Raw genomic sequence first — 25,848 nt, forward strand, 5'->3', positions numbered from 1 at the left:
CCCATCAAAATGTTGATTGGACCATTTATTTTTGAAATAAAATAGTCTTTGGGAGAAAAATGGATATGTGTCTAGCCCTAAGACTACAAATCTTAAATAGAAATTCTTTTCTGAAATTTATGTTAGGATTGGAGAAAAGACAGTTGTGTAACCCTAGTTAATATGGCACAAAAAATAAAGCAGTAAGTTTCCAAATTAAAAAGATATAATTAAAAAATAACCTGCTTCATTTTTAGTTTATTTAATCATGTTTTAAATGCATCAAGAGTTTCATATTTAAAGCAAGTGTCCTTACTGAATTTTTCCCAATGAATTCTCTTAAAGTAGAAGACACATTGCCATTTAGACCACCTCTTAGTTATTGTATTGGTGTAAAATTCAGCATTATACATGGTAGAAAAGCAGGGTGTTAAGCAATTCTGATCTCACTCTCTTTTTGATTACAGATTTTTCGGAATTAACACTAAACGGTAGCCTGGAAGAAAGGATATTCTTTACTAACATGGTTACCTGCAGCCAGGTGCATTTCAAGTGAAGTGTGCTGATGAAGTCCTCTATAAGGTATTTATGTTCACATTTTAGTCTCTTTGTCAAATACTTTGTAATAAGTACCTTACGTTTAGTTCTTTCTACATTATCAATGTCGATTTGCTACATTAGGAATAGGGATTATTAGTAATCACATAAAAGGCTTACCAGTTGTTATTGAGCAGTGCAACTCTTTAATTTTCTTTCTACCTTTTGTGGTCAACTTTTAATAGGTCAATTTAATCCTAAAACCAGAGAAATAAAAAAAAATTCTTGAGTGGTAATGTCTTTGCATTTAAAATCTGTATATGTAGTAGAAAGTGAGTTTGATTTTGAAAACATTGATGCAAGAGAAAAACCCTGAACAGGCATACTGATTTGCCGTTGAAAGCGAAGTTTTGTTATAAATAATTTTATTCCAGCCCAACTATAGGACAAGCCCCAGATGTAAATACTCTTCTTAAAATGTTTTGATTTGAGATCATATTAACCAAAAGAATTAATGGAATGACATTTTCTTTTTTTTTTTTTTTTTTTTTTTTTGAGACACAGTCCCGCTCTGTCACCCAGGCTGGAGTGCAGTGGCGCTATCTCGGCTCACTGCAAGCTCCGCCTCCCAGATTCAATGCCATTCTCCTGCCTCAGCCTCCCAAGTAGCTGGGACTACAGGCGCCTGCCACCACGCTTGGCTAATTTTTTGTATTTTTAGTAGAGACATTTTCTACTGTCTTATTCTTTTTTGGTTTCAGAAACAGTATTAAGTAAAATCAGATAATGAGAAAAATGCATGAGATTGTTCTTAAGCCATGTTTTATCCCCAAATAAATGGAAATTAATTAATTTTAGCATTTTAACATAGTTAAGAGTAAAATGAATCTTTATTATAAAAAAGACGATATTGAGTTACCTAGAAGATAAATAAAAAATAAACATGTAATATTTCTTTGAGGTATTTCATTGACTAAAGTAAGTTGAATTTAGTCAGAGTTGTCAGACTAAATTCAGACTAAAGTGTCAGAAGAGTGTACGTGCTCATTTACTTGGTACCCACTTCATGCTTTTCTGTGGTTGGCTAATAATATTTACAACCTGGAAGGATTGTTATCTATAGATTTCTTTTCTTTTCTCTTTTGAAACGGAGTCTTTCTCTGTTGCACAGGCTGGAGTGCAGTGGTGTGATCTCAGCTCACTGCAACCTTCACCTCCCAGGTTCAAGCGATTCTCCTGCCTCAGCCTCCCAAGTAAATGGGATTACAGGTGCCCGCCACCATGCCCAGCTAGTTTCTATATTTTTAGTAGAGACAGGGTTTAACCATGTTGGCCAGGCTGGTCTCAAACTTCTGGCCTCAAGTGATTCACCAGCCTCAGCCTCCCAAAGTGCTGGGATTACAGGTGTGAGCCACTGTGCCCAGCCAGATTGATTTTATCTATCAGGTATGGGACAGTGCTGAGATGGCAATCATTTGAACATTAAAGTAATATTTCTGGACAGATTTTAGAGTGATAAACAATCAAGTCACAACAGTTTGTATACTATGATGCCATTTTTGTAAATAATTCATAATATACATTCATTATATACAGCAAAATCTTAACATTAACTTTAGGAGGGGTGAGATTACAAGTGTTTTTTTTTTTAATTTCTGCTTATTTTTATTTTCTAATTCTTAAATCCCAGCACAAGCCAAAAAGAGAAAGAGAAAAAAAGGTAATTATTGTAGAACCTGAAAACAGCAATGTATGGAAACCCTCAAAGCAGAAAAGGGAGGAAGATCCTGAAGATTCTCTTATGAAGCTCCAAAATTGATAATCCTGTCTCAGCTCTGCCTCCTCAGGAGGAGCATTAGTAGAACAGCAGTGATGAGGACACAGAGGGAGCAGACAGTGGGTACCACGATCTCCGTAACCATTTGCATGTGACTTAGCAAGGGCTCTGAAATGACAAAGAGAACGAGCACCACAAATGAGAACAGGATCATTTTAGTAAATACAGCTTTATCCCAAAAGCTTTAACTGTATTGGGAAAACTTAAAAAATAGCATCCTCAAATTTTCTGATTCTTATTTGCCATGAAATAGAACTTAGTAAATTAAATGTTATTTGAAAATGTTATAAGAGCTTTGTAAATATTTCAGAAAATATGGGATAAATGCCTGAATTTGGTTCTTCTACAGGTGCTATAATAAAGTCCATCTCTCAATACTTATACTTTCTAAATTCATCTCAGAATATTAGCAGCCATATTCCACAGTTCCTATAATTTTTACTGGGGGGGATTTGTGATAGGAAAGTCCTTGGGAAACATTTCCAATCTTTCAAAATATTATTGTGTATCTTAAGAAGTATAGGAACTTGTATGTTGAAATGTTGTATGGTAGTTCTTGTATAGTTAAATAATAATCTTTTTAAGAGTTAATGATAAGCATATGTTATGTGCATTATTAATAAAATAGTGGCCACTTAGGTAATACCCACTTTTATCTTGTGTGCTGGGTACTCTGGTTACTGAGATAAATAAGGCACTGGACATCCTCACGTGGAGTTCACAGGCTCATCAGTGAATTCTGTACCACATTTCAACCTTGTTTATTTTAGTTTAATGGAATATACATTCTTAGTATTGCCTGATTATTTAAATTTGTTGAGGGGGATTGCATGTTGCTTTATTGGCCTGTAAAAATAGCTAGTTTGGTAAGATTTGGTCTCGCACCTTCCATCTTTGCTACCACATTAAAGATGAGCTTGTTAAAAAGGAAAGCATATTTCTCTGATTGCCCTTATGGAGAAATAAAGATAAAATTCAAAGAAACAAATAATATGTGTTGGCATTTCTTGATGCATAGTTGCATCTTTGTTATTCGACATCTCTGATCCTTTTAGACCCCATTACATAGGAAATGATGTCTTCTATGAAGACAGGGACCTTGTTTTGTTCCTGGCTATATCTCATGACTTAAACATTCCCTGGCAAATAGTGAGTGCTTAATAATTGCTTGCCGAATGAACAAATATAAGATCTCAAGTATTCTTTTTTCCTTCATCCCAGTTGGTATAGTGGTTGGCTTTTCCTCTCCTTGCCCAAGCCCACTATAACAAAAATAGTAGGTATATAAATTTATAGGTATGATTCTGAAAGAATAAAACTTGAATGGATAAAATGGATAAAATGTTTATCTTTCATGGTAGATTAAATGCTTTAAAATGCTTATAAATAGAAATTTGACATTGCTTCAAAGAAACCTGATTTTAATCATAAGTAGTTTTGGAAGATTGACTTCAAGTAGAGCCACATTTTGAGATTTTGAAAATGATATGTATAATTATTTAGTTTAATTATTAAAGGAAAACATTGAAATATACTGACTCACCTGCAGCAAGCATCTGATTGTTGATAGAGCAAGTTTCCAAAGCTTTGAGGTACCAACTTTCCACCTAATAAAAACCCACTTGATAAGTAATGTTGTCTTAGACTAATTTTTTGCTGTTTCAAATCATTTTTGAAATAAATGTGGGGTAAAAGTAAATATTTTTTAAAATCTATCTGTAGTTTATGTTTTTAAATCATTTTGTAGTTTAAATTAGTTAATATTTACTGTACATCCATGTACATCATAGTGAGGGAGTCAAAGAACAGTCTTTATTCATGAGGAGTGTACACTCTAGTGCTTTTCTAATAATGTAAAAGTAGCAAATGCCTTATGGTTTTTAGTCACTGCTTCCATTTAATAGTCCTACGGGGCTCACCTTAAAATAGTTTTGGTAAACAAGTGAAATTTACTTTTTAAAATTATTTTTATTAAGACACTCTATTTTATTTCATTTTTTAGAAACAGAGTCTTGCTCTGTTGCCCAGGCTGGAGTGCAGTGGAGCAATCATAGCTCACTGCAGCCTCAAATTCTTGGGCTCAAGTGATCCTCACACCTCAGTCTCTGTAGTCAGCTGGGACTACAGGCGCATCACCACATCCAGCTGATTTTTAAATTTTTGTAGAAATGATATCTTGCTATGTTGCCCAGGCTGGTCTTGAACACTTGGCCCCAAGCAGTCCTCCCACTCCAGCCTCCCAAGGTGCTGGGGTTACAGGCATGAGCCACCGTACCTGGCCAAGACACTCGAGATTACAGTTTATATTCCCTACCAATAGGTGCAGCAACAGAGAATAGAGAGCTGCTAGAAAAGTTTTCAGGTTATTGAAAATGTTTGGTAGATGCTAAAGGATTACTAAGTTTGATTACTTTAGATCTCATTTTGAAGCCAGTGTGTGTGTATGGCTCTGCTGCTTGGCTGGAAAATAGATGAAAATGATATGATAATTATACATTTGATTTACTTAACTTTTTAAATATATGTTGAAGAATAGGTAGTATTTGTTTGCATTAAGACACAAGATTTGGGCCAGGCGCGGTGGCTCACGCCTGTAATCCCAGCACTTTAGGAGGCTGAGGTGGGCAGATCACGAGGTCAAGAGTTAGAGACCATTCTGGGCAATATGGTGAAACCCCATCTCTACTAAAAATACAAAAATTAGCTGGGCGTGGTGGCATGCCCCTGTAATCCCAGCTACTCAGGAGGCTGAGGCAGGAAAATCGCTGGAACCCAAGAAGCGGAGGTTGCAGTGAGCCGAGATCGCACTACTGCACTCCAACCTGGCGACAGAGTGAGATTCTGTCTCAAAAAAAAAAAAAAAAAAAAAAAAAGACACGAGATTTAGAATAACATTTAACTATAAGTCTCTATTGTTTTTGCCCTATCATAACTTAAAGCAAACGGAACTCCTTCATAACCTCTGGTAGTGCCCTTAGATTGAAGTTTACATCATGCTTGCTCCATTCTAAGCAAATGAGTAAAGGTGAAATAAAGGGCCATGCCGCATGCCCCGTCCTCTTTCATGGAGGAAAGAGAAGAGAAACTTGCCAAGTTCTTTGTGTGTTCCAGCTATCTAGCTCTTCCTAAAGTTCAGAACAGATAACATTGATAATGAGGCCTACCTCTCTTGGATTGGGAAACCCATTGGCAATGATAATCTTCTTGTAATATTGAACTGAAGCCTTTGGATAGCGAGGCTTATTTCTGTCGTTAAATTCAACATAGTAGAATCCATATCTATCTGAGTATCCTTTCTCCCATTCAAACTTATCCAACAGAGACCAGGAAGTATACCCCTTTATATTAGCACCATCTTTTATAGCTGCAAAGACATTTTATTCCATTTTAAATATATTTCATTTACTTAGAAAAATAAAACTGAAGATAATGTTAAAATGTTTTCATTTATGAGATTTAGAAGCAAGTTTCAGTTGATTGTGTGTTAATCACATTTTGTCTCAGTTAAACGGGAAAACTGCAGACAATCTTGGTTTGTGTCTCACCTTTTAGCATTTCATTTATGTATCCTTTAAGGTATTGAATTCTCCACTCATCACATAATTGAGTACAGTGGAATTTTTGAGATGCTCCATTTTCCATCACATATATGGGAGGATCACCGTATTGAGTCTGAAAGTGAGTCATAGCAACAAATATCTTAAAAATTCTGACCTACAGGTAGGTTTCTGAGTCAGAGGCTCATATAGGAACACATATTCAAGCCTGCCACATTCTAATCAAGTGTATTTTGGCATTTAGTAGATGTCAGATAACATGTTTATTTAGAGACTAATGTAGGCAGGAGACAGGTTCTTATAAAGAATGTATTTCTCAATAAATGAACATTGTTGCCAGGCGCGGTGGCTCACGCCTGTAATCCCAGCACTTTGGGAGGCCAAGGTGGGCAGATCACCTAAGGTCAGGAGTTTGAGACCAGCCTGGCCAACATGGTGAAAACCTGTCTCTACTAAAAATACAAAAATTAGCCAGGCGTGGTGGCATACGCCTGTAATCCCAGCCACTTAAGAGGCTGAGGCAGGAAATCACTTGAACCTGGAAGGCAGAGGTGGCAGTGAGCCGAGATCATGCCACTGCACTCCAGCCTGGGTGACAGAGTGAGACTGTCTCAAAAAAAAAAAAAAAAAAAAAACATTGTTGGAGGGGACATGTACTTTGGTCTTGTTCTTTGCCACATATTCCAGTTTAGGTGTGAAGGACAGCAAAATAAATGTGGGATATGAATTTTTTAGCTAAAGTTATATACATGCAAATGGTTATGCATGGTAGACGTGAGTCTGTAAGGCCTACATTTAGTAGCCTCTGAAGTATGAGTAACTAGGTTTATTTTGTTTTATTAACTTTCTAATGTAGGCACCTGAGCTTAAGCTGTGAGAACATGAATTCAAGTCTAAATGTCCTTTGAATAGCTGAATGTGATAATCACCTGAGCAAAGTTAAGGAGCCTCCTAAATCCCCATGGCACAGAATATAGCCATTTAGACCCCAGATCTGGCCAGTTTGGGTCAACCAGCTCTATCAAGTCACGATCGTTCTGGTAGCTGGGCCCCTGGCGGGAGGGGTAGTTCCTTTCCGTGATGTACCGAGTAGTAAAATGACCTAATCCCAAGAAATCGGATGTGCCTTTAATGTAGCTCTTCTCCTGGAGTGAGAACACCGGTAACCTCGACATCTCCAGGCCTTGCTCTGCACTCTTTCTTCCTTTTGAGAGAGAAAAGTAGAATTTAACAAAGCCTTATTTTCTCCCAATCACTGTGTTATGTATCATGACGATAGTGACATCTTGACATAAACGGTGGGCTTTAGGATTCATTTGCATGGGAAGTATAACCTTAGCCATCCAAAGTGGAATTTTTGAAATTTCAATACTGTCCAAAATATTTATAAGTTTATATTGCTTAAAAATAGCATTTTCAGGCCGGGCGTGGTGGCTCACGCCTATAATCCCAGCACTTTGGGAGGCTGAGGCGGGCGGATCACAAGGTCAGGAGATCGAGACCATCCTGGCTAGCACAGTGAAACCCCATCTCTACTAAAAATACAAAAAATTAGCCGGGCGTGGTGGCAGCCGCCTGTAGTCCCAGCTACTTGGGAGGCTGAGGCAGGAGAATGGCGTGAATCCAGGAGGTGGAGCTTGCAGTGAGCCAAGATCGTGCCACTGCACTCCAGCCTGGGTGACAGAGCGAGACTCCATCTCAAAAAAAAAAAAAAAAAAGTTGTATTTTCACAGATTACTCAGTAAGTGGTGTGTAGCCATCTGGAGAAAAAGTAGAGTTGGGCTCCTATATTGTTCCTTACATTAAAAATGGGTAATTTGGCCGGGTGCAATGGCTCACGCCTGTAATTCCAGCGTTTTGGGAGGCTGAGGCAGGTGGATCACTTGAGATCAGGAGTTCGCGACCAGCCTGGCTAACATGGTGAAACCCTGTCTCTACTAAAAATACAAAAAATTGGCCAGGAGCGGTGGCTCAAACCTGTAATTCCAGCACTTTGGGAGGCCGAGGGGGGCAGATCACGATGTTTAGGAGCTTGAGATCAGCCTGACCAACATGGTGAAACCCCATCTCTACTAAAAATACAAAAATTAGCCAGGGGTGGTGGTGCGTGCCTGTAATCCCAGCTACTTGGGAGGCTGAGGCAGGAGAGTCGCTTGAAGCCGGGAGGTGGAGGTTGCAGTGAGCCGAGATCACGCCACTGCACTCCAGCCTGGGCGACAGAGCAAGACTGTCTCAAAAAAAAAAAAAAAAAAAAAAGTAGCTGGCTTGGTGGTGGGCATCTGTAATCCCAGCTACTCGGGAAGCTGAGGCAGGAGAATCACTTGAACCCAGGAGGCAGAGGTCGCAGTGAGCCAAGATCATGCCATTGTACTCCAGCCTGGGCAACAAGAGCAAAACTCCATCTCAAAAAATAAAAAATAAAAATGTGTAATTTTAGCTGCCTTTGGGAAGGGAACTGGAAGGCCAGTGATGGTATGTCCTATCTTTGTCCCATCTTTCAAAGTTGTAAAAGCATATGTCCTTTCATTGACCAATTCCAAATCTGTTTACACTTTACTCACACATGTAAAGGGATGTTTGTACAAGGATCTTCATTATAGATTGAGTGGCAAAAGATTGGAAACAACCTAAATGTCTGTCAGTAGGGTCTGGTTATGTAAATGAAACATCCATCAGTACAACACTATGCAGCCTTTAGAACAAATGAGGTGGCACTTTCTATAGCGATGTGGAAAGCTTGCCAGGATATAGGTTTCAGTGAAAAAAAAAGCTTCAGAATGTTGCGTGTAATCATAAGCACATACACTGACCACATGCACAATCCATCTCTGGAAGTATACTTGCTTCTGGGGAGGGAGAGAGAGAGGCCTGACTTTTTACTTCATATTTTTTGTACTTTAAAAAATTGGAAACATGTCCAGGTGTAATCTATACAAAAAAGACTTTTAATATATAAATCAAGAAAAACAACATTTTCCCTGAATTGATCTAAAATATAACCATAAGAATAGTTCCAAAGAGGATAATAGTTTAGATAAAATGAATACAAAGTTTGTGTTATTAAATACCCTTAAGATATTAGCATAAAGCAAATAAAATATTGGCACATTATTTCAGTTACATTTAGTGACTTAAGAAAAGCCACCAGCTATCGTCATTGTCCTTGCACTGATACAATAGCCACTAGCTGCATATGGCTATTAAAATATAGTGACCGAAGGATTGAATTTTTAATTTTAATTTTAAATTTTTTTTTTTTTGAGATGGAGTCTTGCTCCATCTCACTCTCCCAAAGTTTCGAACATGGTGAAACCCCATCTCTACAAAAATACAAAAATTAGCTGAGCATGATGGCAGGTGCCTGTAATCCCAGGTACTTGGGAGGCTGAGGCAGGAGAATCACTTGAACCTGGGAGGCAGAGGTTGCAGTGAGCCGAGATCGCACCACTGCACTCCAGTCTGGGCAACAGAGCGAGACTCTGTCTCAAAAATAAAAAAAAAGAAAGAAAGAAAAAGAAAACATAGAGCAAAAGCACCGTGACAATTAATTAGGCAGTTATATCTTGACTCTGACGCCAAAATCACAGGCAACAAAAATAGGCAAAAGAAGCAAACATAAATAGACAAATTGGACTTCATGAAATTTTTAAAAATTTGGGAATCAAGACACTAGCAACAGAATAAAAAACCCACATAGAATGGGAGGAAATATTTGCATATCATATATGTGATAAAAAGATATGTAGAGAATTCCCAAAACTCAACAACAAAAACAACCCAATTCAAAAATGGGCAAAGAACTTGAATTGGCATTTTTTCTAAAGAAGATCTACAGATGTATAAGCACATGAAAAGATGCTCTTACTAATCATTAGGGAAACACAAATCAAAACTGCAGTGAGATACAACCTCACACCCATTGGGATAGCCATTATTAAGCAAAATAACAAGTGTTGGCAAGGATGTGGAGTAATTGGAACCCTTGTGTATTGTTGCTGGGAATGTAAAATGGTACACCCACTGTTGAAAACAGTACGATGCTTCCTTAAAAAAAAATTAAAAATGGAATTTTTCATATGACCCAGCAATTCTACTTCTGGGTATATTCCCCAAATAACTGAAAGCTGGATCTTGAGATATTTGTACACCCGTGTTTTTAGCATTATTCACAATAGCTAAACATGGAAGCAACCTAAGTGTCTATTGATGGATGAATGAATAAGCATAATATGATATATACAGACAATGGAAATTTTTTTTTCTTTTTCGAGATGGAGTCTCACTCTATCACCCAGGCTGGAGTGCAGTGGCGAGATCTCGGCCCACTGCAACCTCCACCTCCCAGGTTCAAGTGATTCTCCTGCCTCAGCCTCCCAAGTAGTTGGGATTACAGTGGCCTACCACCATGCCCAGCTAACTTTTGTACTTTTAGTAGAGACGGGGTTTCACTATGTTGGTCAGGCTGGTCTCAAACTCCTGACCTCAGGTGATCTGCCCACCTTGGCCTCCCAAAGTGCTGGGATTACAGGCTTGAGCCACCGTGCCCGGCTGACAATGGAATATTATTCAGCCTTAAAAAGGAAGGAAATTCTGACATATTACAAAATGGATGAATCTTGAGGACATTATGCTAAGTAAAATAAGCCAGTCACACAAAGACAAATACTGTATGATTCCACTTATATGAGCTACTTAGTCAAAATCAGAGACTGTGGAATCGTGGTTGCCAGGGACTCGGCAAAGTTTCAGTTTTGCAAGATGAAGCGTTCTGGAGATGGATGGTGGTGATGGTTGCACATTATGAAAGTATTTTATACCACTGAACTGTACACTTAAAAATGGCAACACAGGTACATTTTATGTGTATTTTGCCACAATAAAAAAAAATTGGGGAAAAAAATGGCCAAGAAAGCCCACCCCAAAACTTATTATGACAGAGTGATTCCCTTTTTCTGTCTTTGGGTGTTGACGTGTAAAGATGCGATGCCTGGGGTTGCTGCAGTCATCTTGTGGCCATGGGGATTGGTTGATGGGCTAACTGAAGGTGCCAGAGTGGAAAGATGGAATGAGCCTGGGTCCTCAAGGGCACCCCTGAAGGCTAGATTACCTAGCCCTGCATCACCCTTCCCTGGGCTCAGGTGAGATGATAAATTCCCTACTTCAAGTCATTTTTAGGTAGAATTTTCTGTTACGTGGCAGTTAAAAACATCCAAATTGATATATCCCTGTAAGCCTTACTTGTGTTTATTCTCTTCTCCAACACTGTGGAAACTGGAGCTTGGAAAGTATTTCTCCATTGACAGAAAGAACCGACAATAGAAGTGACACAGGCCCATGACTGTGTCTGACCTCTCTCCTGCTTGACTGCAGTTAAAGTGGGGTGGAGGAAGGGCAGGGAAGCAGAACATAAGAGAGACCAGCCCAAAGACCACCACTTTCTTCCCTGAGTTCTGAAAATTCTCAATTTCCAAGTCTAGGGAAATTGAGAGGTCTAGGGTTCCTCCCTGCCAATTCAAATGTCTGGTTCTCAATTCTTTTGAGTCTGGATTATCCCTTGAGTACCTCACCCAGGCCCAGTGAGCTCTTCATCCCCCTGCCTTTTGCTTGTTTCACATGGGCTCAATAACTTGCCCTAGTATCTGCAGTTTAAAATGAGACTGGGCTCACCAATGTAGTCCTTCATGACTTGGGGGTAGTCACCGGCATAAATGGGGTTGGCAAACCAGCCCAGACAGAACTGTAGGTATCTCTCGGCAGCCTCTAGGTCCTTGGGGTTACTAATGTCCACAGGTTCCCCCCAGTCACAGTTCAATGAAATTCCCACCAGACCTTAAAAGAAAAGAAAGAAAAGGGAGTGGGGAGTGGGCATGCCATTGCTGCTCCGGGCACTTGGCTGTCCTGGGTACATGTGTGGGGCCACAGCTCACCTTGCTGCTTGCTGCGCCACGTGGTGTTATAAGAATGCCAGGCTTTGGCGTGGGCCTGAAAGGGGAGCAGAAATTCATCGTAGGTACCTGGCCCATCCATTTCCTCCCTTTCAATCTGAGTGGCCTTTCTTTGCTTCCTAACTTTAGAGCTATTATTTTCATCAATCCAGCCTTGTTTATCCCGATCCAGTCTTCTTTCCTCTAACTTCTTGAGGCACTTATTTTCTTTATATTGTAAATGAAACTTGATGTAAGTCTGGCTCAAACAACTTTTTGTTGTTATTTATCGTTTTTAAGATTTTTGCTAAAGTTTCCTGTTTTGTTCCTCTTAGTCCTCAGTAGCAACTAGGCAGTACTTTTCCTCAGAGGAGCTCAGTAATTTAGGAAAATACCAAGTGTCTGAAATAGTCTTGAGAAATGGAATCTAAAACACGCCAACCTGCCTTCTCTTCATATTCTACCAGTGACCCGCTGGCCTGCCTGAGGCTATTTCAGCTAGCCACCGCGCTTGGGTAGGTCAACACCTAAGAGAGATGGAAAGTAATCTAGAACAGTGATTATCGGTGTGTGATCTCCAGACCAAGGTCATCAGGATCCACTGGGAACTTAATAGACATGCAAATCCATGGGCCCTTGCCAGACCTACTGAATCAGAAACTCAAAGCGGGGCCCAAGAATCTGTGGTTTTTGTGTGTGTGTGTGTGTGTTTTTTTTTTTTTTTTTTTTTATCTTGAGATGGAGTCTCGCTCTGTGGCCCAGGCTGGAGTGCAGTGGTACAATCTTGGCTCACTGTAACCTCTGCCTCCCAGGTTCAAGCCATTCTCCTGCTTCAGCCTCCTGAGTAGCTGGGACTACAGGCACCCACCACCACACCTGGCTAATTTTTGTACTTTTAGTAGAGATAGGGTTTCTCCATGTTGGTCAGGCTGATCTCGAACTCCAGACCTCAAGCAATCTGCCCACCTCAGCCTCCCAAAGTGCTGGAATTGCAGGCATGAGCCACTGTGCCTGGCCAGCAATCTGTGCTTTAATAAGCTTGTTTTTTGTTTTTTGTTTTTTTTTTCTTGAGATGGGGTCTTGCTTGTTGTCTAGGCTGGAATTAAACTCCTAGGCTCAAGTGATCCTCCTGCTCAAGTGATCATCCCTCCTACTCAAGCCTCTCAAATAGCTGGGACAACAGGCATGTGCCACCACACCTGGCTCAGTAATCATTTATTAAATTATTTTGATGTGTGTTAAAATTTGAGAAGTACCAATTTAGAAGACCTGAATATCTGAAGGCTATAGAATTCGGGGTTGTTTTGTTTGTTACTCACAGAGAACCTGTATTTATCAGACTTCTTTCCTTATAATTCCTTTTGCCAACCAGCAATAACCAAGTGAATCATGGTATTGTCTGATGAAGTGGAACATGTCAAAACAATATCAGAATCACATCTCTTCAGGCCGGGTGCGGTGGCTCACACCTGTAATCCCAAAACTTTGGGAGGGCAAGGTGGGTAGATCACGAGGTCAGGAGTTGGAGACCAGCCTGGCCAACATGGTGAAACCCTGTCTCTACTAAAAATTCAAAAAAATTAGCCGGGTGTGGTGGCGTATGCCTGTAATCCCAGCTACTCAGGAAGCTGAGGCAGGAGAATCATTTGAACCCAGGAGGCAGAGGTTGCAGTGAGCCGAGATCGTGCCACTGCACTCCAGCCTGGGCGACAGAGCGAGAATCTGTCTCTAAATAAATAAATAATCGCGTCTCTTCAGCTCACTACTTTTGATGGATAAGAAGGCCCAGAAAATGACTTCCATGTTTAATATTAAAAATATCTTGAGGCGGGGCGCTATGGCGCATGCCTACAATCTCAGCACTTTGGGATGCCGAGGTAAGGGAATCACCTGAAGTCAGGAGTTCAGGACCAGCCTGGCCAACATGGTGAAACCCTGTCTCTATCAAAAATGCAAAAATTAGCTGGGTGTGGTGGTGCACGCCTGTAGTCCCAGCTACTTGGGAGAATGAGGCAGGAGAATGGCTTGAACCCGGGAGGCGGAGGTTGCAGTGAGCCGAGATCACGCCGCTTCACTGCATCCTGGGTGACAGAGCAAGACTCAGTCTCAAAAAAAAAAAATCTTGAGAGCTCTGCCCTTTAAATATTCACAGTTTAAGAAATCATAAGCCAAATGTAGAAAAAATGAGAAAATGTTCTCCCTGATATGAGTTTGGGGATCTGGAATGTCACCCAGTGGTTCCTTGCCTTCCAGCTTAGACAGATTGTCCACCTTCCGCTAAGTGTCCTTTGGGGCCAATCCCGCATGCCTCGTATCCCTGTTCTCCAGTTACCATCATGTATACCCTCATACATGTCCTGTAATGTGACCCAATTCCTTCCCCAGCGACAAGGCTTTCCAGTAGCCCTTCCTTCCTGCAGCATCTTCTCCGAATGGCCCCTTTACTCTCTTGTGTGACTGATGCCTGCTGGCCCTAAGAGCACCTCCGCTGCAGCTCCTTCAAGCAGAGGCCATTTGTTCCATCACACTCCACATACCTCTGAGCTGGGAGTAAGGTGGAGTCTGCCTGCTCATTATCGCTGCTTCCAAACTAGTTTTCCTTCCTCCTTCAAAATTCCCAGGTTCTTTGAAGTCCACACTCTGATGACCACTTCTAACTCCTCTTACTGCTGTCCTTGATCAACCCCAGTTACTTCTACTGATTCATTGAAGATTTTAACCCCTGGCTCGCTGTCACACCCCTTCTTCCTCCTGTCACAGCTTGGACCTGTAGTTGACGCATTTCCACATGGATGTCCCCTTGGCTAGGCTGTAAGCTCTTGGGAGTCGCTATAACAGCTCAGCCATAGTGTCCCCCAGCGCCCTGAATGACAGAACACGCCCTCCATAAATCGTCACAGAAGGGAAGGTGCTATGGAGTATGCTGACTCGGAGGTGGAGCGGCAGAGGACCAAGCTCAGGCTAGAGCCCCTGGGGCAGGCTGAGCTGACCCTGAGGCTGTTCCTCCACCAGAAGGACCCACCTCACCTTAATGATGTGGTGTGCTGCCTTGTACAGGCCGGTGCCGCGGAGCTTCAGGCCCGGCGCATGGTGGCCCGTCTCATAGCCTTTTTCTGCCATTGCCTATAGGGACAGCAAGCAGGACCACAGGATCCATAAGAAGTGGCAGGGAGTGTCACATTCTCCCACCTGGAGGGGCCCTGCTTACCCGAGGATCACTGAACGTGATCCAGTGCTTCACACGGTCCCCAAAGGCCTCAAAGCACAGGTTGGCGTAGTCTCTGAAGTAGTTGGCCATGCTCACATTCTGCCACCCACCGTATTTGACCTGGAGCAGCTGTGAACACAGAGAAGCAGATGCCCCATGAATGAACCGCAAAGCGGTTTAAATGTGGAGATAAGCTGTGTGACAGTCCTCAGACAAACAGGAGGGAGGCCGCACAGGGAGACTGGGACTCTCATGCCTAGAAAGAACTGGATGGATTGAATATTTAAGAAAAATTGCCAGGGGAAAGGGGCCTAATAATGGGGAAGCATCTTAGATCTAAGTTCTGGAGAAATGAGATCTGATGCTAGGATGAACACTCTGATGAGGATTTTGAGGGCCACACAGATGTCAGAAAGCTCCTAGAAGCCTTGGGACAGAGTCTGCCTTCTTCGGCAGAGGGCTTTCCCAACCAAAGACATCTGCCCATGACGGCAGAATTCTCCCAAGACTTGTCACTGTATCGAGACTACCTGTCCAGCTCTCCTTGGTGGGTTTGAGGGGATGTTAATGGGGCAGGCTCATGAAAGCAACCAGGGAAGAAGCTGGAAGGTTCATCTCCCTAAAGCCTGCTCTGCCCTCCTGCCCAGTTAGAGGACTCTGGTAGCTCCCATTCCCACAGAATAAACCCAGTTCCCAGTCATCTTAGCTCAGCACTCGAGGCCTTCGAGGTCTTCCCCAAGCCACTTCTCCAGCCTCTAACCCTTCCCTCTCCTACCTGCTCCCCAAATTCTAACTGAACCGAACTGCTTGCCCAGCTTCCCCCTCTTTGCCATGCGCCCTCCAATCAGAACACCCTTTCCTCCCACCTCCTGCCCAAACCTTCCAGGGCACCGATGGGACCACCTTCTCCCCAGTGAATGAAAATATTGCCTGAGGCCAGGCGCAGTGGCTCACGCCTGTAATCCTAGCACTTTGGGAGGCCGAGGCAGCTGGATCACCTGAAGACAGGAGTTCGAGACCAGCCTGGCCAACATGGCGAAACCCTGTCTTTACTAAAAATACAAAAATTAGCCGGGCGTGGTGGCACATGCCTGTAATCCCAGCTACTCAGGAGGCTGAGACAGGAGAATCACTCGAACCCAGGAGGCGGAGGCTGTAGTGAGCCGAGATCATGCCACTGCACTCCAGCCTGGACGACGAAGCAGGACTCCATCTCAAAAAAAAAAAAAAACAAAAGAAAGAAAATATTGCTTGAATCACAGTGACATAGTGACGTTCTGAAGCATGTTGTGATTTCATGGACATTGCTGGGGCAGGGGTCATATATGAGTGCTTGTGATACTGGCTCAAACAAATTGTAGAAAAAAGGCTAAACTTGTTCATTATGCTATGTCGCCAGATCTTTTTTTTTTTTTTAGACGGAATTTCATTCTCATTGCCCAGGCTGGAGTGCAATGGCATAATCTCGGCTCACTGCAATCTTTGCTTCCCGGGTTCAAGCGATTGTCCTGCCTAGCCTCCCAAGTAGCTGGGATTATAGGCGCCTGCCACCACGTCTGGCTAAGTTTTGTATTTTTCGTAGAGACTGTGTTTCACCAGGTTGGCCAGGCTGGTCTCGAAGTCCTGACTTCAGGTGATCCACCCACCTCGGCCCCCCAAAGTGCTAGGATTACAGGCGTGAGCCACTGTGCCTGGCTGCCAGATCTTAGTTAAAAGACATATCTTTATAGTTTTTAAAATTTGTTTTTATGCCAAGTTTTTTAGAAAACAAAAGGATTCACTCTTTTCACTTACTACACACATCAATTAAAGCAGTGTGACCTCCCTGCCATACATGAGTGCTTTGGTTTGAATGTTTCTGTCCCCTGGAATTCATGTTGAAACTGTATCCCCTGTGTAACAGTATGGGGAAGTGTAGTCTTTGGCAGGTGATTGAGTCATGAGGGCTCTTCTCTCTTGAATGGGATTAGGTGCCCTTATAAAAAGAGGGACACGGCATTCAAGGCATCATCTTGGAAGCAGAGACTGGGGCCTCACCAGAGTCTGCACCTGCCAGTGTCTTGATCTTGGACTTCCCAGCCTCCAGAACTGTGGGAAGATACATTCCCGTTCTTTACAAGTTACCCAGACTCAGGCATTCCATTGCAACAGCAAAAGTGGATTAAGACAGTGAGTCAGAGAGATTTTTTCACTCACTCGCATCTTATAGTCCTGCGCCAGAATCCAGACCCTAGTCTCTGCTCCACCTTGGCAACCCAAGTCCTCAAACTGGGCTCCCTCCTGCTTAGTTGAGTCCCCTTTGGGCCTGTGAGCCTGCTCAGGTCCTCACCTGTGGCAGATCCCAGTGGTGCAAGGTCACGATGGGAGTGATGTTGCTGCTCAGAAGGGCATCGATAAGATCACTGTAGAATTCGATTCCCTTCTTGTTCACCTGCTCGGCTGCAGGTGAAATAAAAGAAGATGCTACCAGAAAGGACCTCGGCCTTGGCCTTGGCCTTCTGGAGTGCAGCATTCCTGGGCCCTGTTGCTTTTTGAAGGCCTGAGGCACCCTCAGCCCACCAGCATTCTGGGAGCCCAGTTACCTGCAGAACCTGTGAGAGCTGCTACCGTCAGCAACTACGTTCATGGGCTGATCTCCCTCCCCAGGACTCTGTGGTGCCCCTGCAAAGCCAACATTGCCGGAAGGGGCCTCACTTGGGTTCAAGAGGGGCTTCCCTAGCTCACCTCGGATGCCTGTGGGCAGGAGCCGGGGCCAAGACAGGGAGAATCGGTAGTGGTTGACGTGCAGTTCCCTCAGCAGAATGATGTCCTCCTGTGCAGACAGGGGTGGGGAGACAGGTCACCTGGGCCCTGGGTATGGGAGGTAGGGGTCCATCGGGCTCTAGGGCCGAGGCTCACTCTTGTCTGTAGCTGTTAGTGGGCAAGGAAGAACCTGCTTCCTCACCTGTACAACAGAGGTGATGCCACCTGCCCACTTCATGCAGGGGATATGCCAAGAGTCAAAGAAAACGCAGGACAGGGAGGCACTGAGAGAAGTCCATCAGGGTGCCCCTAGTAAACCTGGGTGATGAGTTCCTCAAGAAGCCATCCAGAGAGGAAAGTGGGTGCTGAGGATGAGCGGGTCCCACTCCCTCCACAGGGTGCAACTGACAAGCAGGGACCAGGGGTTCAGGCCACTGTGGCTGTAGGCCCTGAGGCTGTGGGATCAGCCCTTCAGCTCCCCCTTCACTTGGCCTGAGGCACTGGCTCAGGTGAGGCCCCACTTTCCTTTCCTCCTACATCCACCTCACATCCTGGCCCCTCCCAAACCTTCACCCCCACTGGCCCTGCCCCCTCTGGCTGCACTGGGGTAGAGGGTGTTTGGCAGAGCATGGGGATGACATTGTCATCAGAGCTCCCCCAAACGTCACTCCCTGCCTCCCAGCTAGGCATGTACTCACATGTGTGTGCACGCGCGCGCACACACACACACTCACACCCCGCACTCACCTGGACCTTGTAGTAGCCGTCACAGGCTACATCTGCCGTCTCATTCCCAAGCACTTTCCCCTTCCCACTGTGTGTGAAGACGTCCCAGATGCTAGGCCCTTTCCCGTCCTGGTCCCAGGCGCCCTCCGTCTGGTAGGCAGAACTGCCCACGCCCCAGGAGAAGCCTGCAGGGGGAGACCCGTGCTGGGTCCCAGGTGCTCCCATGTGTCACCCAGAGCCAGGACTCTGGGCTGTGCCTCCCAGGCCTCAGGGACTGCCCCTCCCTACCACGCTGCCCCTGTCCCACTGGGGACTTGTCTTCCTAGGAGTGTGAGCACATGAGGCACGGTAGGGGAAGATATATTAAAAACATTTTTTGCACAATTTTAGCTCTGATTAGCATACATTATCTGTGTAATTTTTAGTAACTTCAAAAAAAAAATATCTGTTAGGAGCTTTTAGAACAACCACACAAAGGTAGGTTTCTCATCCTGCCAATCAGGAAGCAAGAACACCAAACTCCTTGTCAAGTCAGCCAAAGTGGGCAGGTGGACGACAGACAGGCAGACAGACGAACAGAGGCGTGGCCGTACCAAGAGGGAAGGTTCCATAGTAGAAGGAGGCCTCTTCTGGGGACCCCTTCCGGGCGGCCCCCAGCCTGGGCACCAGCAGTAGCATCCACAGAAGGGTGGCGACCCACACTGGCTTCATGGTGCCTGGCCCTCCCCCATACCTGAAAAAGTGCAGCTGGCTCTGCAGGCCCCTGCAGCCAGGCTGATGGCCAGGTCTTGGCTTAGGGCAAAGGCCAAGTGGGGAGAGGAAGGGAAAGGAAGGCGCTTGATCTGCACCCAGCAGCAGAGGCTGAGGCTGGATGTCTGATGCTGTTTCCGTGCCTGGGGAGCTCTGAGACTGATGGGCAAGACTCCAAACTATCCCTTCTCCCTACCTTGGCTCCTGTCTGATGGGGGAGACCCAGCCCATACCCCTGAGTGGCCTCTATCTAAGGGGGAAACCACGTCTACCTCAGGGAAGCTCCAGTCTGAGGGGGCAGGTGGGAAAACCCACAGGGCCCTTTGGCTCTCCCAACGACACGCAGACCCCTCCCCCAAGCCGGGGTTGCCCATCCCAGTGCCTCTGTCCTGCACACGAGGGAGACCCCTCGCTCTGGAATCCCCTCTTTGGTGCCAGCCCAGCCAGCTTACCCAGGATCGTCCTTGATCGCAGACACCCCCAGAGCAGTCGCTGGTAGTCAGAGCCCTCTCCAACTGACCCCCAGGGCCTACGCTGTCCCCTGAGAGAGGAGCCACAGCACAGCCGAAGGCTCTGGTTGGGGGTGTGGTCTGTGGCTACAGAAACTTTCAATAGCTCCATTCAGTGGGGGCCGGGCAGGAATGCTGAGCTGGCCGGCAGGGCCTGAGTCAGCAGCTGGGGGAGCTTGGCGCTGGGTGGGGGGCGGGGGGGCAGGGGAGCTATCAATCAACTCCCCATCCTGGGACAGAAGGGCAGCCAAGGAGGGGGGAGACCTGGTCCTCCTGGACCCTTCTGGGCTTGACATGCCACCTTCAGCACACCCCAGTCCTTCGAGTCCCAAGCTGGGGGTGGCGCAGGACCAGTGTATGTTGCCATGTGTCTCTGTCTACTTGTCCCAGCTGCCAAAAAAAAAACAACCAAAAAACCCACCATAAAAGATAGAGTTGGTTTTTCCACCTTGGCCTTCTCTCTTTGTATCCCTCATTCATTTCTTTCCTCACTCATTCATTCAACCAGCACCACCTGCTAGAACAGCCCACCCTGTAGTCTCAGCACCTCTTGCCCTCATCTGCTGTGGCTCCCTTCCCTGCAGTGCCCTCCCCATCAGAAAGGCCTCCTTCACATAGCTCAATTTCCAGCCTCCCTGCCTTCAGCTGAGCCCTCACCACAGCTCTCTCAACTGGGCCTTATGGCTTTGTTGTTGGTTAATTTCTTTGTACTCTTCCTTTGGGTCTTCAATGGGTAGCACCTCCTCCAGGAAGCCTTTCTGGATTCATGCACCCTCAGGCCAGACTAGGTTCTCTGGATTTTGTTTTCTTTTCTTTCTTTTTTTGTTTTCTTTCTTTCTTTCTTTCTTTCTTTCTTTCTTTCTTTCTTTCTTTCTTTCTTTCTTTCTTTCTTTCTTCTTCTTTCTTTTCTTTCTTTCTTCTTCTTTCTTTTCTTTCTTTTTCTTTCTCTCTCTCTCTCTTTCTCCTTCCTTCCTTCCTTCCTTCTTTCTTTTTCTTTTAAACAGTGACATGGTCACGGCTCACTGCAGCCTGGACCTCCTGGGCTCAAGTGATCCACCTCAGCACCCCAAGTAGCTGGGGCTATAGGCACCCACCACCACGCATGCCTAATTTTTTGTAGAGATGGGGTCTTGCTATGTTGTCTAGGCTGTTCCTGGGTTTTCCTACAGCCTGCGTTTACCCCTCCCACCCTGCACTTCCACATCAGCTGTTTATGTATCTGTCCCCTGCCCCTTTGTAGGTTCCTGGGAGGCGGGAGGCGGCCAGCCTGGTTCATCAGCATCCAGTCCTCTAGTGCTGCCACCTAGTGGACGCTTAATAATGTGAGTAAAATCGAAATAGTACAATAATGAACCTAACCGTGGCTAACGTTGACTGGGTGCTTCCTAAGGTCCAGGGGCTTTCATGTATTCATTCATCAACCCCTGAGACAAGGCAATAGATGCAGCTTCGGCTGCAGTGGGGCGGGAGGTTCCAGGCTCCAGCAAGGGCAGGCTTGTACGGCTGTGTGGACAAAAGCCGGCCCCGTCTGGACTGACCCTGGCCTCGTGGTGGCCCTGCTCTGAGGGTGGTGCTATTACTGGAACCGTTAGAGGTTGAGGAAACTAGAGAGCTCCTTCAGGCCTCGCTACCTAGCAATTGTGCGGAGGTTTGCTGAGGGAGGCCAGGGGGTGGGTGGGGTGGGGGTCTAGACCCACCCACCTGGGGGGTAGGCTGGGGGGAGGCTGCTTTACTGGGGGGCCCAGCTGGTGAACGGGGCCAGGTCCCTTGGGGTTTCCCTGGTGATGCCTGTGGTGAAGGCACTAAGATCTTTATTCCCAAATTCTGACGTTCCCCAGGTGCATTCATGGGGACAGGAGTGATTCTCAAAGTAGAAGCCAGGGCTGGGTCCCTTACAAAAATGTAGTGATTGGATGGGGGTGTGTCAATAAGGATATTTCCCCCACCAGATTTCCTACCTGTCTGCCCTCTAGCCTTTCCTCAAGAAACATTTCCTGAGTCCCCAAGAGGCCCTGGCCAGAGTAAAATAGGACTTGGCCTGTGGGCCTCTGGAACTGGGGGTCTCATGAGGACAGGAGGCGAGCAGGGAGGGGAAGGGGGGAGGTTCTGGATGTGGTGCAGAGTGGCCGGGCTGTAATGGATGGAGGGATGGAACGCTGAGAGACTAGGGGTGTGGGGCTGTCTTCGAAGGGACACGAAGGATGCAGAGACATTTGCCAGGCGTTCGTGGAGGCACAGAGTGGGGAAGGCATTGGAACAGGTGGAAGGATAGCATGAGTAAAGGCCCTGAGATGTATTTCTGGACCTGGGAGGTTGGTATCTTCTCTCTGCTTGCACCTGCCCTGCAGTGCCCAGGCAAGGCTGTGTCCTCAGGGGTAAGCAGGCCGCTGAACAGGCGAGTGGGCTCTGGGGACTCTGTTCCCTGGGCTGAGGTAGGCAGGAAACATACGACTTTAAGAGCTGATGTCCGCCTGGCGCAGTGGCTCATGTCTGTAATCCCAGCACTTTGGGAGGCCAAGGTGAGCAGATCACTGTCAGGAGTTTGAGACCAGCCTGGCCAACATGGTGAAATCCCATCTCTACTAAAAATATAAAAATTAATGGCCAGGCGCGGTGGCTGACACCTGTAATCCCAGCACTTTTGGAGGCCAAGGTGGGCAGATCACTTGAAGTCGGGAGTTCGAGACCAGCCCGATCAACATGGAGAAACCCCATCTCTACTAAAAATACAAAATTAGCCGGGTGTGGTGGTGCATGCTTGTAATCCCAGCTACTCGGGAGGCTGAGGCAGGAGAATCACTTGAAACCGGGAAGTGGAGGTTGTGGTGAGCCGAGATCACGCTAGTGCATTCCAGCCTGGGCAAAAAGAGCGAAACTCCGTCTCAAAAAAATATATATATATATACACGCACACACACACACACACACACACACACACACACACACACACACACACACACACATATATATATATATATATATATATATATATATATATATATATATATATATATAAAAATTAGCCAGGCATGGTGGCGCATGCCTGTAATCCCAGCTACTTGGGAGGCTAGAACCCGGGAGGCAGAGGTTGCAGTGAGCCAAGATCGTGCCAATGCACTCCAGCCTGGGTGAAAGAGTGAGACTCCATCTCAAAGAAAAGAAAAGAGCCAGGTGCGGTGGCTCATGCCTGTAATCCCAGCACTTTGGGAGGCCGAGTTGGGTGGATCACAAGGTCAGGAGATCGAGACCATCCTGGCTAACAAGGTGAAACCCCGTCTCTACTAAAAAAATACAAAAAAATTAGCTGGATGTGGTGGCGGGCACCTGTAGTTCCAGCTACTTGGGAGGCTGAGGGAGGAGAATGGCCTGAACCCGGGAGGTGGAGCTTGCAGTGAGCTGAGATCGTGCCACTGCACTCCAGCCTGGGTGACAGAGCGAGACTCCGTCTAAAAAAAAAAAAAAAGAAAGAAAGAAAAGGAAAATAAAAGAAAGGAAAAGAAGAGCAAAGCTGATGTCATCTCTGAAAAATGCCCCTTCCGGTGGAGCCAGGGCCAGTGTTTGTGTTGGAGGGGCTGCTCAACTGGCCTGGGGTCTGGCTGCAGACACAGCCTCCATCATTGAGGCCCTGTTTTCCTCCCATGGACTCCAAGCCTGGCTCTGGCTGGAATGAGGATGGATAAGCCCCTGCGCTGCTCTGAATGTGTCCCCGAATTTCATATGTTGAAACTTAATCACCGATGTGATAGTATTAAGAGTTGGGGCCTTCATGGACAGGATTAGTGACCTCATAAAAGGGCTGGAGGGAACCTGCCGGGCCCCTTTCATCCTTCTGTCCCTTCCCCCATGTGAGGACACAGTGTTCGTCCACTCGGAGGGCTCAGCCACAGGGCACCACCTTGGAAGCAGAGAGCAGACCCTACCAGACGCAAACCTGCTGGTGTCCTCATCTTGGACTTCCAGACTCTGGAACTGTGAGAATTACGTTTCTGTTGGTTTGTAAATGACCCAGTCTGAGATATTTTGTTATAGCAGCACAAGTAGACTAAGCCATCCCCGCCTTCCCCTCCTCCATACATGCTCTGCAGAAGCTGCCTAGGCCCTGTCTGAGGCCTGGGCTCCCAGTGCTTGGCCAGGGTGAGACCTTTCCCTCAGCAGTGGGGCTGAAGTCCCTGAGGCCAGGCCTTAAGTGGCTCTTGGGCCTCTGTAACTTCCTTTTCTTCCCTCCCTGCAAGGGGCTGCAGAGGTGGGGGCCCAGGCCATAGCCAGAGCCCTGTGACTTTTAGAGACAGGCTTTGTAAAGGCAAAGGGTCTGGTCCTCAGTTCTGGGAGCACAGAGAGGGTGAATGCTGCAGAAGGTCCCAGCCTGCTCTGTGCCTCAGGATCATTAGGAGCAAATTGAGGGGTGGTAGTGAGAGGACACTGGAGAGTCAGAAAAACTGAGTCCCACCTCCATCTTGCCAGGAACTGGCTGTGGGATCAGTGCCAGGCACTTCCTCTCTATGGGCCTGAGGCTCCCATCGATAAAGTGAGAGCCTGTCTTTCGGGATCATCCCAGTAGACACTGTTGGGCCCAGCTTCAGCAATTCTCTCCTCTGGCCCTAGGAGCTGGTCCTTCTCCAGGGGGTCTCTCGGTCCCCCACCCCCAACCTCCCCAGTCTTCACACCACCAGCCCTGCAGCCCAATTCAGCCCTGCCCAGCCCTGAGCTAAGGGAGCAAGCCCCAGGGTCAGAATAAGGGGCAGGAGACAAGGTTCAGTTCTGCCTGCTGGGTGACATTGGACCTGCCATTGTCCCATGCTGGGTCTTCATTTCCTCCTCAGTAATGAAGAGGAGGCTGGCTACAGATGTCTGAAGTCTTTCTTAGCTCTGGGATTCTAGTAAAGAGGTGATAGGCTTTTTTCAGGGTTTTGATTTTGTGGTAGGCAGGGAATCTGGTAGGGGCAGCCCTGAAAATGCTGGGATGGATGAAGCGGGTTTGCAGGGATGAGAGTGGGGCTGGCTTGACCCAACAGGAGGTCATGGTGTGTGTGCATGCATGCTTGACTACATGTGTACCTGTGTGTGCATGTGTGTGGGTCCAGGGAGTGTTGGGGAAAGGACCCCCGCCCCCAGGGTGCAGAGCTGTCTTGAAGAGCCTAGAGTTGGGTGAGTCGAGGGGATTAGGGGTTTCTAGGAGTACTTTGGGCCTGATATGGTTATGCTTTGTGTCCCCACCCAAATCTCATTGTGAATTGTAATCCCCATAATCCCCATGTGTCGAGCAAGAGACCTGGTGGGAGGTGATTGGATCATCGGGGCAGTGTCTCCCATGCTGTTCTCATGATAGTGAGGGAGTTCCCACAAGATCTGATGGTTTTATACATGTCTGACTGTTCCTCTTGCTGCTGCCCATGTAAGACTTACCTTGCTTCCCCTTCCACTATGATTGTAAGTTTCCTGGGGACTCTCCAGCCATGTGGAATTGTGAGTCCAATAAACCTCTTTTCTTTATAAATTACCAAGTCTTGGGCAGTTCTTTTTTTTTTTTTTTTTTTTGAAATGGAGTCTGGCTCTGTCGCCCAGGCTGGAGTGTAGTGGCGCAGTCTCGGCTCACTGGCTCACTGCAAGCTCCGCCTCCCGGGTTCACGCCATTCTCCTGCCTCAGCCTCCCGAGTAGCTGGGACTACAGGCGCCCACCACTACGCCCGGCTAATTTTTTGTATTTTTAGTAGAGACGGGGTTTCACCATGTTAGCCAGGATGGTCTCGATCTCCTGACCTTGTGATCTGCCCGCCTCGGCTTCCCAAAGTGCTGGGATTACAGGCATGAGCCACTGCGCCCGGCCTAGTCTTGGGCAGTTCTTTATAGCAGTGTGAGAATGAGCTAATACAGGGCTTAAGCTTAGAATTTCTACTGAGCTTTCTTCTGAGGGTGGAGCAGAGACGAATTGTCTGGACAGGCCTCTGAAGGTGAGGGTGGTGAGGAGGAAAGGGGAAGGAACAAGAGAGGGCAGCAGGTGGAGTGGAAGAGAGCAGTGGTTAGGGTCAAGGACTCGAGCCAAATAAGACACTGAATCCCAGCTCAGCATTTGCCAGTTGAG

The 25,848-nt window shown here is 46.1% G+C and overlaps 2 protein-coding genes across 12 annotated transcripts in view, besides 1 other annotated feature; one reads left to right on the forward strand and one right to left on the reverse strand.

Moving 5' to 3' along the window:
- Positions 1-3,986, forward strand: part of ZWILCH (zwilch kinetochore protein) — a 44,805-nt gene extending 40,819 nt beyond the window's left edge. For 4 of the 6 annotated variants that reach the window (NM_001287821.2, NM_001287822.2, NM_017975.5 and 1 more), the window contains 2 exons: positions 447-561; positions 2,207-3,986. In NM_001287821.2, coding sequence (NP_001274750.1) covers positions 447-535 — 89 coding nt within the window. In that variant the 3' untranslated portion in view covers positions 536-561; positions 2,207-3,986. Of the gene's footprint in view, positions 1-446; positions 562-1,687; positions 1,786-2,206 lie in introns of all 6 variants that reach the window. The other 2 variants (XR_001751344.3, XR_007064470.1) reach the window with 1 other exon arrangement.
- On the reverse strand, positions 1,388-19,854 carry LCTL (lactase like). 6 transcript variants are annotated; one of them, NM_207338.4, is made up of 14 exons: positions 19,713-19,854; positions 19,104-19,243; positions 18,532-18,695; positions 17,767-17,854; positions 17,372-17,481; positions 15,043-15,171; positions 14,862-14,957; positions 11,838-11,892; positions 11,578-11,739; positions 6,840-7,114; positions 5,899-6,025; positions 5,518-5,717; positions 3,897-3,960; positions 1,388-2,461 (listed from the first exon to the last, which is right to left on the reverse strand). In NM_207338.4, the coding sequence occupies exons 2-14, from the start codon at positions 19,219-19,221 to the stop codon at positions 2,346-2,348; spliced, it is 1,704 nt and encodes a 567-aa protein (NP_997221.2). In that variant the 5' UTR covers positions 19,222-19,243; positions 19,713-19,854; the 3' UTR covers positions 1,388-2,345. The 6 variants fall into 6 exon arrangements, 4 of the variants coding, with proteins under 4 accessions (NP_997221.2, NP_001265491.1, NP_001381561.1 ...); NM_001278562.3 differs by lacking the exons at positions 18,532-18,695; positions 19,104-19,243; NM_001394632.1 differs by lacking the exons at positions 3,897-3,960; positions 5,518-5,717; positions 19,104-19,243.
- Positions 18,147-18,441: a silencer, noted in NCBI's record as "tiled region #674; K562 Repressive non-DNase unmatched - State 23:Low". NCBI's record gives its function as "represses a minimal TATA promoter and a strong SV40 promoter by Sharpr-MPRA in K562 cells {active_cell/tissue: K562}" and the evidence as "EXISTENCE:reporter gene assay evidence [ECO:0000049][PMID:27701403]".
- Positions 19,855-25,848: the final 5,994 nt, after the last annotated feature.

The sequence above is a fragment of the Homo sapiens genome, chromosome 15 (genome assembly GCF_000001405.40).
Source record: "Homo sapiens chromosome 15, GRCh38.p14 Primary Assembly".
Lineage (NCBI taxonomy): Eukaryota > Metazoa > Chordata > Mammalia > Primates > Hominidae > Homo > Homo sapiens.